At 37.0% G+C, this 13,620-nt stretch overlaps 2 long non-coding RNA genes across 2 annotated transcripts in view; both read left to right on the forward strand.

The window, feature by feature from the left end:
- The window catches only part of STARD4-AS1 (STARD4 antisense RNA 1), a 227,501-nt gene that overhangs the window by 19,318 nt on the left and 194,563 nt on the right, over positions 1–13,620 (forward strand). The window lies entirely within an intron of this gene.
- On the forward strand, positions 1,766–8,049 carry LOC124901042 (uncharacterized). Its single transcript, XR_007058899.1, has 2 exons — positions 1,766–6,745; positions 7,877–8,049. It is a non-coding gene; the product is annotated as an uncharacterized LOC124901042 (long non-coding RNA).

Genomic DNA, 13,620 nt, shown 5'->3' on the forward strand with positions numbered 1-13,620 from the left:
AGAGTTGTTGCAGAGATTAAATAAATACTACCAAAAAGCATTCAGAATATTACCTGGTACATACTAGGCACTCAAATGATGTTAGCTATGCTAATATACCTATTGTTATCATTATCATCATACCTTAAGAACCAAGACTCAGTCATGTGTACATTTGGAGAACCCAGAAGTTTAGAGGCTCTTTAGGAAGCATTCTGAAATTTGGCTTCCTCATGTTTCATCCCCTTAGTTAATCTAAGCTTCCATACGTTATCTCTCTTAAAGAAGTATTTAGATGGCAAATAAAGTATTTAAATAGCAAAATTAATTTAGAGCTAATGTTTTGAGTGAAAATTGAATTTCCAATTGCAAAGCCCAATTTCGGCCACTAGGTGGCTATAAAACACTAGCGCGCTCTCTCTCTCTCTCTCCCTCTCTCTCTCTCTCTCTCTCTCTCTCTCTCTCTCTCTCTCTCTCTCTTTCTATATATATATATATATATATATATATTTTTTTTTTTTTTTTTTTTTTTTTTTTTATGGAGATGGAGTCTTACTCTGTTGCCCAGGCTGGAGTGCAACGGTGCGAGGCTCACTGCAACCTCCGCCTCCCGGGTCCAAGCAGTTCTCCTGTCTCAGCCTTCCGAGTAGCTGGGATTACAGGCACGTGCCACCACACCTGGCAAATTTTTGTATTTTTGGTAGAAACAGGGTTTCACCATATTGGCCAGGCTGGTCTTGAACTCCTGACCTCAGGTGATCTGCCCACCTCGGCCATCTAAAGTGTTGGGATTACAGGCGTAAGCCATTGCGCCCGGCCAACACTAGCTATAATTTTTTAATCACCAAGAAATTTTTGTATTTTAAACAAACGTTCAGTATTGCTTAAGTCATATTTTCTCCTTCAGCAAATAGAAAGACAGGAGAGAAAGCGAACTAGGAGTCACAACTCTTCCTCTTAGAGCCCAAGGGGCTTGTCAGAAGAGGTAGGCAGTGTTTCTGAGGACCTCCATAGCCTGCCTGCACACCCAGACAACAAGAAACCTGGCAAAGGTAGTGTTGTGTAAGAGGTACTGCTTACCTGACATGTGCACTCTGGATACGGCGAATATTGGTCTTTCCACCCCAATGCTACCTAACAATAGATAACTCCAGCCTCCCTCTGGCTAACTGTTCTGTTGGTGGTGGACAGTGAATGCTATAGACTAACACAATTGGGACACAGGCTGAAGCAGGAAGATGAAGGCAGAAGAAAGGCTGGTTGCTGGGGAGGTTGTCAGAGACTCATCCAGCAGCCTGTGCAAGTTTAAGAGAAGGCCTAAGTGCCTATGGGGTCAGTGCTCTAATTTACGAATACAAAATATTTTTAGTCTCTGTATCTGCAGGTCCTAAACGTTTGGGTTTGAATTATAGGGTTGGTGACTGTATTTAAAGTTTTCTGATATATTCTCCTGGAGATGGCTGTCACCAGTCATTTCGTGCTCAGGAATAACTCTGTTTGCATGTGCAGGAAGAATGTCTCTGTAGCTCTTGCTGCTGCCTCTGCCTGGCACAGCTGTAGAGATGGAGAGAGAATCACATTCCATCTCCCTTTTGTTAGAGGAGAGAAGAGAAAGTAACTTCCAGATAGAGACCAAGTCTCCAACTGGTCTAAACGTGGACTCTATTCTTCTTCCTATAATACTACAAAGTGTTCTCTATAAATGAAACTTCTCAGAGGCTTTTTAAAAAATGTGGTAAACTATATAAAACATAAAATTCACCGTTTTAACTATTTTTAAGTGTACAACTTAGTGGTATTTAGTACAAAGTTGTGCAACCATCACCACTATCCATTTTCAGGACTTTTTCATCATCCCAAATAGAAACTCTGTGTGCTAGTTATTAAACAATAGTTCCCCATTCCTCCTTTCCTGAGGGAGGGTTATTTTTAAGCTGTTTTGGTGCCCATAAAGTCGGTGGCTATGTTCACACCTCTTTTTAAGCACTTTAACATTTCATTTATTTAAAGAATATTTACTAGGCAACTCTACTGAATGAAATATTAGGAATAGATTATCCAATAAATACCAATTCTTTTCGCAAAGGAGCTTGCAATGAATTGAGAAAGAGACATAAATAAATGATGTCAGTGCAGTGTGGTGAATGCTATGATAGAGAAAGGCAAAAAGAAAACTGGCAAGAGATCTAGCTTTTGTAGAACACAAACTGTCAGACTGCACCAAGTACTCACCCACTTTGTTTCTCTTCACAACAGTCCTGTGAAGTGGCTACCATTATCACATTTTACAGGTAAAAAATCTGAAACCTCAAATGATCATGCAAGTTGCCCATGGATACTCAGGGTATAGTTTAGAGAGGTCAAGCACTAAACAAATAAGGAGTTATGGGTTCTTAGCCAGGCATGGTGGCACATGCCTGAGGTGGGAGGATCTTTTGAGCACAGGACCTGGAAGCTACAGGGAGCTATGATCGTGCCACTGTACTCTAACCTGGGTGACAGAGCAAGATCTTGTCTCAGGAAAAAAGTTATGGATTCTAATCCATCTAATCCAGACTGTATAATTGACAAACTTCGTGCATTTAGGTTTTTTCCTACAGTTCTGTGGGCCTAATTTCCCTCTATAGAATGGCAGAGCTATACTACTACAAGACGCCTTAGGATTTTTTTCTTCAAGAAGATGGGAAGGAGTGAGTGGACATTGAAGAGTTCTCATCACAGATCTAAAGAAGAAACAAACTGAAGAAAATTCTGCACCTTTAGACTCAGTGTCAGGAGTACCCCAGAACAGAGATCCCATTATGCTGAGTGGAGTGGGGCTTTGGGATCACAGATATGAGACCTCTAAATAAATCTCAGGCATTAAGAACTGCTTTGGAGACAGGCTGGACTTGGTCTGATAAGTTAATATCTTCCACAAAATTTATGTTTTCTGCCTAAATTTTTCGTTATTCTTATTCCCTATTAAGACAGTTAACCAGCTCTACTTTCTAACCCCAGGGAAGGACTGTAGCAGGGTGATTTGTACTCAGAGCTACTTGCCTCACAGACTGTATGCAGGGAACAGAGGGAAATGCAGTACAACAAGAGTGAGAATGTAGATCTTAAATAAGAGTCTTCCAGACTGGGAGGGAGAGAGTAGAAGGCAATGGATGGGATTCTCAGAAGCAGGATCTGAATCCTGGTACTGCCAATGAAGTAGAGGTGAAAAATCTTCAGATACAAATGCACACAAGGCTGCTGTAGGCAGGCAGGATGGTAGCCTCACAGATGTAGCAAATATGTCTAGATCTAGATCTCCACAAATACATAGTAAAATATGATGTTTCCAGGTCTTCACCAATGCTGTGCTTTCTGCTTGGAAAGGTCCCCTCTGTTTGTCTATTTGTTGACTCTCTATTGTCAAAGCAAAATTGTACCACACAAAGTGAAACAGGCAAGGAAGACTTTCTTCAAGGCTACTGCAATAGGGAGTGAGACCAGAACGAAGTCTGAACTCAGGAGGTATTTTAAGAGCTGAGGTGAGCTAGTAGAAAAATACTGGAGGATGTTTGAAGGAGATTTATCAATGGGATATGTCTAGCAAATTGAGTTATTTAAGTTTGCAAATGGTTTTCTTGGTGATTAGTTCACCCGAGCTTACTAATTGTCTCCATGGAAGTTAGGCTCTTATTCTCCCACAGAGACTGGAAGATAGGGCACAGTTTCCTTGATGATTACATTTCAGTGGAATGGCTCCAAGGTCCTTGAGAAGGACAGTTCTGAGTTGTACAATTGGCAAGGGGCTTTTTAAAAGATTTATATCTCAAAGGGGGCAGATAAATAACTTACAAATATTCTAAAGTCAATGTTCTAAGAAGGAGAGGTCAAGGGCCTAGAATCAGAAAGAAACATGTCTAAAGTTTAGTCAAGCTGAAGGGAATATTAAAGCCATCTTGTAAATTCCATCTTTAGTCATAGAAAATGTGGCCCACTTTCTGATTCTCTTTCCTTCTCCTATACCCAATATTGTATTCCAACATCTACAGAAACTCTGATTCTTGTTCATACATTCAACTCCAATGTATGGAACTAAACTGCAAGTATCAATTTATATATTTAAGACATTTAAGGAAGAGACAATGTCTTTTTTCATCACTTAGTTCAATGATGATTGCATGGTTGAAAATGCAGAATAAATATTTGTTAAAATAAACTAAATCTTAGTAACTTATACAGGCTATTTTGACTACTCTCACTATTCGACCTTTCCGTGAAACTGGCCAATTTTATCACTTTTCCCCCATCCATCTATCACATATAACTTGTTTTCCTGTTTGTTTGCTTTGTTTTGTTAATTTGAATAGTTTACAAACGTCCTTAATTTAAGTGACCAGAATTCTAATGTTATGTACTACTACTTAGTTTAAGCTCAGTTCAAAGACTGGGTGATTTTTGGCCAAATTCTCACCATTGTGACAGTAAGTTTTCTACTTTCTCTTTTAGTAACACCCATGGATGGTAAGAACAAAGAAGAACCTTCATGAGTGCTTTGATGGTAGCTCCTGGAAAAGTAGTTTGAGTAATAAAGTAGCTCCCAATTGCTCATCAGCTGAAAAACCAACTGCCCTTTATATAGTTCTACCATTATTTCTATACAGGCAGAGCCTTTGTTTTCACATGGTGAAGGAAAACCTTGAAGACATGGTTTGCATTGATTTCAAATTCCTCTTAAAATGACTCTAACAGGAGGAAATATTCTTTTGGTCTGAGTTATTCTGAATTGTATCTGTTTTGATTACATCTACCAGACAATTTTAGTTAGCTCTTAGCAGTAATCTTATTTAGCCATCCAGATGGCTGAAAATACCATGCCAACATCCTTTTCCTATTGTATTGTTGACTAGACACAGCCTATTACCTTGAATTTCAGTTGGCTCACAAGCACACCCAAAACATGGAGTATAGTGTAGTTGATATTTTATATCTGCCAAGTGCTTTATTCTATTCCTGAGATTAATTTTAGCAATTGTGGACCGACAGTTATCCTTGTTGGTCACTAGACTAGTGTTTTGTACACAGCACCAATGGTTTATTATATGAATCTCTTCACATAAAAGAGTTAATATGTGTCTTCAAACTCTTATTGGCCAATTCTCAGAAAGTCAGTTATGTCCAGACCACCAGATGACAAGAAAATAGCATCATATACATGTCTAATGATAAAGTGCATTTAAATTCATTTTGTTCTTGCTAGAACATAAGAACAATTTCTAAGTACAAAGAGGGTAGGTTTTTCAAGATAAAACATTTTTCTTATGACCCACTGTTTTGCAAATACCTCTCCCCCAAGTCCCTTTATTTTTTCATTGCCTTGTTTTTCTCAATTACAGAGTATTTTTAATATGGTTATCTGATTTATTCACATGGGGATTGATATGTCTGCTAGGTTGAAAATAAGTTGTATGATAAAAATACATAAGATGGACTCTCAAGGGAAGAATATATAAGACGTTTCTTTAGCACTTTTAAGTCTGAGTCTGTGATTGGAGTCTTGTTTGTGAGAGGTTTGTTATTTATATTAGTTTTTAAAATGTTTCCTCCTAAATATCTTCTGTATAAGAAAAAGAAATAAGAGTACACATTTAGATGCTTTAAAAAACCCTGCTCTTTTGTAGCTGACATCTTATTAATTAGGTGTGACATTAGGCTCTGATGCTGGGGAAACATTGCCATTAGTATACTTTACTAAGGCTAGTTCATGGTGTTTTATATCTTTGGATGTCCTTCAAGTTTAAGATTTTTGTTTATATCCATAGAGGTTTGGAATGATGTCATCGAAGAATTGTATTTCTAGTTCCCTCATGAGAAAGGTCATGTCTCTTCAAGGCCATGGAAACATGATTGAATTTGCTTTAAATAAATTACATTCTGTTAAGATAGCTCAAACTGCTACAGTTAACCACTTCTCAATCTGTATATCTGCTGTAAAGGAAAACAAAAAAAGAATAGTCTAACAAAGATAATCATCTTGCTCCAGTTTTTCTCAAGGAGAAATTTCATGGTATGCATGCACATGGAAATCATTAAATAAAAGAGACAAAATGTAATATATTTAGTATCAGTCATAAAAGAACTGTTTTATAATAAAAAGTCTTCCCTGAAAACAAAGCCCTTACCCACAGATGAGAGAGCTAGGCTGTCTAAGAGATGTCAATTTTCTTTAAGCCTGATTCTAGACAGATACATGAGCAAATTACTCCTCTTCTTAGCTGTGCTAGCTTGGAAAGTTATTTCAGGTCAGTTGACTTTCATGTTCATCAGTGTCCTCATCTGTAAGAAGGGAATAAAACCACCTGTCTCTTAAGGCTGATGTGACAATTAAATAAGACATTCTATAAAGCACTTAAGAAAAACAGTTGGTGCATATTACATTCTCAGTAAATACTAGCCATTATTCATTTTGTGAATAATCAGGGGAGGAAAGGTCAGAGAAAATAGGTGAAATATCTACTGGAGAAATATGAGAATCAGATCAAGAAAGTTTCATGGTTCTCTTAGCTCTCGAGTTGACTGTGGGTAACAACATTTCTTCTTTCTTCTCCACACATTTTCCTTGTCTTTCCTTTTCAAGAAACCCACAGGGGTGTTCCACCCTCCAAATTACATTCTTATTTTCTTATTAACAACAGGTTTCTAGGACCCAGCCTACTTTCCTCTCCTCTTGGAAACTGCCACTAACATACTGTCTCTGAATGTCCTGTTTCTTCCAATCTGCTAGAATGGGGTATGTCTTCTCCACCTCCTTCTTTCATTTCTGCCCTGAAAGTATGAGATACCTGCAATGGTCTAAATGCATAAGGAAAGATAGTGTGCATGGAAAAATAAAAGTAGGCTAATATGGCTCGCACTAGAGAACAGGGGCAAAGGAAGAAGCTAGAGGAGGGAGAAGGGTCAGATCATGAATGCATCGAGGCTCTGCTGAGAAGTTGGATTTTATCCCAAGGTCAAGGGTGAGCCAATGAAGTATAATTTAAGTCAAGAGGGACCTGGTCACACTTTTCACTTTATAATGAGGACTCAGGCTGTAACATGGAGAATGGATTGGGAGGTCAGTTCATTTAAGTGAAAGGATAAGAGTCTCTATAAAAGTTGTGGTGGATGGGAATGGCGTAAAAGATACCCAGGGGTAATCTGGGAAGGAAATAGAGACAGGTAGAACAGTGGATCCTGGGAGGCACCAACACTAAGGGGCAAGACAGTGGCAAATCAAGATGGGGAGCTGGAAACCAGGAGAGCAGTGTTTTCCAGGCAAGAGATGAGATGGTTTCAGGAAAGAAGGGGTGGTCATCCATGTTGAAAATAACGGTTCTCATTTTGTTGAGAAACTTAAATACCTGAGGGAAATTATCAAAGATCATAAAGTGGGATCTTGTAGAAACTCATCTGTTTTAACGTTTGATTCAATTTGATACACATTTATTGAAGCACTCCTCTTTCTAAATGTGTGTTAGAGACACAAGGAAGAAATATAATCTAGATATAGTTTCAGTACTCAAAAAGCTTATAGTCTAAAAGCAGACGCTGAAATCAGATATTTTTAAAAAGATAATTAGCAAAATAATTTATTTGAGAAAAAGATATTTTGCTATGTGAAAAATGTAAACAAAGATAGGAAAGGTTAATTAGCAATATTAAAAACAGAACAATTGTTTTAGTCAGTCATGTAGATACATTCATGATATATTACTATATGAAATTATAGCACAGTTTAATTTGTAATCTCATTCCATAGTAGCAGATCTTGTAAAAATGTAAATGCTCTCTAATTGTGTTTATTAAAAAGTTGTATGTCATTATTGTAACTTCTAAAGGGACTTTGAGCAAATTCTTTAATGCCAACCATCTGTTTCTACAGGGCCTATTTCTACAGTATTTACATTCATCATATTCCTACATTTTACAATGAAGAGTATGCAAATAGCAATTAAAGAACCTCATTAACTCAATTACCATTTTGAAGAAATTGCTAAGAACATTTATCAATTATTAATAAACTGGGAAAAGAATGTGGCATCCAGAATCAGAAAACTGGGTTTTCAGTCTCAACTCAATCACTTACTATTTGGATAACTTTGGAAAAGTCACTTGACTATTCTGAGCCTAAATGTGCTTATCTATAAAATGGTAATAATAGCAGGATTGTTGTGGGGCTATAAAAAGGCATGAAAAGTACCATATCAAATAAGTATGTGGAGTTGCTTTAGAAATTATAAATTTCTATACATACATTTATCATATTATTATTTCATTAAGAGAAAGGTTAATTTGGAAAAAAATTACAAATATGAACTCCTACTTGAGGCTTATAGCAGCCTGTTGTCATTAGTTTCAATGGCATATAGGTCCTTTGCCAAGTTGTAGACAAAGTCATCAAATAAAAAATCCCTTTCAGTAGTAAATAGAATAGAAGAAGTCAGTTAGGGTGTTTTGCTGATCTTACTGACCAGATGTTACTGCTTGGCACTTAACATTCATAATAGATAAATAAAATTAATTTATATGTAAATAAATCAGTTATAGAACTGAGATCTGGGAATCTTTTAAAATCATTTTATATATAGGAATACATGGATATATATAGTATATGTATAAATATATATCCTAGCTTGAAGTGATAGAAGATGTATTCGTATAGCACAATTACATCAGTGGTCACCAATATTTTTATCAATGCTTTTCATTGAAGAAAGGAAGAAATTGAAGAAAGAACGACGTGGATAAGAGATTAATGCTTTGCATATGAATAAAAATGCAACATCACTGATGGTAAGAAAAATGCAATTTGAAACCACAATGAGATATCATCTCATACCAGTCAGAATGGCTATTATTAAAAAGGCAAAAAATAAACAAAAACAGAAGCTGGTGAGGTTGTAGAGAAAAGGGAACGCTTACACACTGTTGTTGGGAGTGTAAATTAGTTCAACCATTGTGGAAAGCAGTGTGGTGATTCCTCAAAGAGCCAAAAACAGAACTTCCATTTGATCCAGCAATCCCATTACTGGGTATATGTCCAAAGGAATGTAAATCACTCTATCATAAAGACACATGCACATGTATCTTCATTGAAGCACTATTCACAACACCAAAGACATGGAATCAATCTAAATGCCCATCAATGGTAGACTGGATTTAAAAAATGAGGCACGTATACACCATGGAGCGGTATGCAGCCATAAAAAGAACGAGGTCACGTCCTTTGCAGGGACATGGATGGAGCTAGAGATCATTATCCGTAGCAAACGAACACAGAAACAGAAAACCAAATACCGCATGTTCTCACTTTTAAGTAGAAGCTAAATGATGAGAACACATGGGCACAAAGAGGAGAATAGCAGATACTAGGACCTACCTGAGGGTGTAGAGTGGGAGGAGAGAGAAGAGCAGAAAAAAATAACTATTGGGTACCAGGCTTGGTACCTGGGTGATGAGATAATCTGTACCAAAAAACCCTGTTACACGAGTTGACCTGTATATGAAACCTGCACTTGTACCCCTGAACCTAAAATAAAAGATGTTTAAAAAAGGAAAAAAGGAGATTAATGCTTTGAACAATCTTTAATATGAAGCAACATATTTACCACAGAACAATCGAATTATGCTGTAAGTTGAATGAGTTGTAAGTAATCTTAAATGTTGTATATTTATGCCCTCTACTAGATTCCTTATCAATAATTTTTCTGACTCTGCTTGCATACAGAATTGGAGAGTAAATATTCTACAAGATCATTCATTCTTTTAAAAAATAATTTTCCTCTTCCATTTTTGAGTGAAATTAATTTGAGAAAATTCTTCTTTTTATTGAGCTGAAGTATCAACTTCATCCTTAATTAAATGCTTAAGTATTTGTAGGCATGGTCCATGTTTTTATGGGTGAAAAACACGATGCAATCATTCATTGAACAGTTATTGCTAGTTACCACTTGACATTCACTCAAGTAGACTCTACACACAAGTCAGACTACAGTCAGGTTTGAGATATGTACAACTCAATTGCAATTGTTTTCCTCCAACACCAAACCCCAACTTTGTAGGAAAACATCTTTTCCTACAACAAAGCTAACTACTTCTCCTGAAATACTTCTCTGAATTGATTTTGCAATTGAGAAATTATCACATTTTCCTGTTACTTCTGCAAATCAAATATTGAGGTAATGTAGGCATAACCACAAGGTAGCAAGCAAACAAAATAATTCCTATCCCTCCTCTTAGAGATTTTCTCTGGCTCCATTTATATGTGGTAAAGAGCAAAATGGACAAAACTGTTATGATTCTACTTCTCTTTTAAGCAGATCAGTGAAGGCAATGAGTAATGGGTTTGGCACAGTTCTGCAAAAGTATATCGTGTACCAGCCAAAAAAAGTCTCTCTCTGCCTGTCTGTCTCTTTCTCTTGTTTTCCTGTTTAAGGTTCTTAATATCATGCCATTGCTCTGGAATCGAAATCATTTTCAGACCTTTCTAAAACTTAAAGGAAATAAAAAGCTAAATCACATTAGAAGGGCAGAGGGAAAATACTCCTTGAAGTCCTAAGAACAAACTTTGAAGTCATTGATAGACACAGAACACTGTTAGGCTCTTTTATGTTGCTACATACAGTACCTGTTGATTATGTCATCTCAGGCTCTTGACTTGGCAGCCATTACATATATCAACTAGATTTGTGAACTCCAGAAAAATGCCCATCCACTCTGCTTTGGATCCTACCGCAATGTTCTCCATGGCAGAGTATAAGAAGAACTGCTGTTATGCATTGATAATTTTGCAAAGCATATAAATCAAAGCATGATTGAATGAATGAATGCAGTGCCATCCTTATTAAGCTTTCCTTGAATGACTTCTCCCATTTTTTCCTATTTCTTTAGTGGACTGTACATATGCATGTGGTTTTTACCCACTGTAAGTAATCTTAAACACTTATTAAAGAGAAGTAGTGGTAAATGTAAGACTCCTGCCTACCAAAACATATAGATCCTCATTGCTGTGGGTCTTACAGTGCAGTCTTGGTGAGCTTTCATTCATTTATTCACTCTGCATCTTGTGTGATGCATCTCCTCAGCACCATGTCTTGTATCAGATGCCAGGAACACAGAGATTAACAAAACATGGTCTCACCCATGAAAGACATTAACATTATTGGTGTTATTGAATGAGAGGAGCTAGATAGCCAGGAGACATCCCAAACCCTCCAGGAAATACATTAATGGAGCAGGACCCAAAACCCAAGAGGAAATTCTGGCCATTATTGAGCCTTAAGACAGCCCTATGAAAGATCTCGGTGGTACCATTTAATGGACTCCAGGAAGGCCGTTCCACTCTGAAATGTTTCTCACGTAAATGTAAAAATACATATGTATACATATTATATAGAATGATATACACATCACATCTATACAAGTCACACAGAATTTCTCATTCAGTGATTTTTTTTTCTTTTAGATTTTGGATTGCTTTCTCTTAAAATGCAAATATCCTTGAGAGGTATGCCATATGAACTCCTTTATTTTTGACCGTGGAAGACTTTACCAAACAGAACTTTTTACTCCAAAAGGACATAATGAAAATTCCAGGATTGTTCTGGTGTCACAAAATGGCCAGGAAGGGCCTATAAAATGGAACATCTTCCTTCTGAACAGCTACTCACTTGGATGGTTCCTTTCTCGGTTTTCAACATAAATTCATAAGCCACCACTTTTCCACATCCCAACTAAACTCTAACTTTTAGAAATAGGAAAAGATTGTGAAGAGATAGCCTGATGAGCAGGAACACAGAGGACATACATAGATAGGGCCATTAAATGAAGTTATTCACTGTGTTTCTACGTATTCCAAACAAAGAAGTTCTGCCCTTTGAACGCAGACAAGTCATCAGCTTAAGAACAGTTGGATTGTTTGTAACTAAGAAGTTGGGCACAAGAGACATTTCACTATAGACCACTCATATGGTATTGGGGTTTGTAGGCCATCCCCTCCAGGCCTCATAAGCCAACAATGAACCTGAAGTTAGACAAACCTGAACTAACCTAAGCTCACCATAACTAACATTAGTTCTAAGGAAATACTCCTAGAATTTTAGTTCAGAATTTCAAACAGTTTTCCCACCCCTTTCCTCAACAACCACATAGTCTAAATAGTGAGAATTCTTTCCTTCTGCTTTATTTTATTCTCCCTTTCCCCTAATTTGACATCTTGAAACCTCAACCCAAATTCTTGAAACTAGCTGTAGGAATTTTATGTCCAATGAGTTCCCTCCCTTGTTCCCTCCTTCCTTCCTGCCTTCCTCCCTCCCTAAATTTGAAAAACATATAATGTATTTTCAATATTTCAAGGTATATCAAAGATTATTAAGACATGTTTAGATTGTTAGTGTCTTAGAATTTTTGACACAAATCCAAGCTAGATATGTATTTTTCTTATTAAAATTACAATTTTGACAATATATGTGATCCATTATTGCAGTATCCAAGAAGCTGGTAATGTATTTACAAATTTATTTCTGGGTTGATTTATTTAGAATTGTAATTGTCTTATTTATTAACATATCTATGCTGCTTTATTACCCTGAGGTTTTCAATGACTATGAGACTATAAAAAAAAAACTAGAGAAAAAAGGCCAGGCGCGGTGGCTCACACCTGTAATCCCAGCACTCTGGGAGGCCGAGGCAGACGGATCACGAGGTCAGGAGATCGAGACCATCCTGGCTAACACGGTGAAACCCCATCTCTAGTAAAAATACAAAAAATTAGCCGGGCGTGGTGGAGGGCGCCTGTAGTCCCAGCTACTCGGGAGGCTGAGGCAGGAGAATGGCATGAACCTGGGAGGCAGAGCTTTCAGTGAGCCGAGACTGCTCCACTGCACTCCAGCCTGGGGAATAGAGCGAGACTCCATCTCCAAAAAAAAAAAAAAAAAAAAAAAAAAAACTAGATTAAATAAATGGAATAATGAATAATACAACCAACATTTAAGAAATACATGATAGTTGAATTAAAACTTTCCAGCATATCTTTTATGATTGGTTGTCATCCTAAACAGAAAAATATATCAAACCTTCTCTTCAGCCTTGAATAGAACATTTAACAACCATGAAATAGTGTTATCAATGGATAAAAAATAAATTTGCCTTAAGAATATCTATATTTAAAGACATATATTTCATATAACTAATAGATAATTCAATGATGTAAAAGATCGAATTGCTTCTTTAGTCCTCATTTTGGGGAATGATTATACAATTCTATGGGGTTTTCAGGTCTTACACCTTTGTTATCATTTGTTAGTCTTTTCTCTATCTATGGAAGCTTTCACGGGCCAACCAAGGAGCGGCTTTCTGAACTTCTTTTTCTTTTGACACAGCACTGGGATCAGAAACCCTGCAGAGTTAACTGTGTTTGCTCATTAGTCAAGAGAATGCATAGTTTCAGGCTGATTAAAACAAGATTTTCTGCAGAATGGGGCTAATTTTCCAAGTGCCATGATGTAAATTCCCCTCTGCTTCCCTGTCCCCACCATATCCTCTCTAGACTGGATTCATGAGAAGCAAATAATTCTGTAACTTTCCACACCACATCTTTCAGCTGAAGAGACTCAAGCATTTTCTGGA

This window comes from Homo sapiens, chromosome 5, assembly GCF_000001405.40.
Source record: "Homo sapiens chromosome 5, GRCh38.p14 Primary Assembly".
NCBI classification, from domain to species: Eukaryota; Metazoa; Chordata; class Mammalia; order Primates; family Hominidae; genus Homo; species Homo sapiens.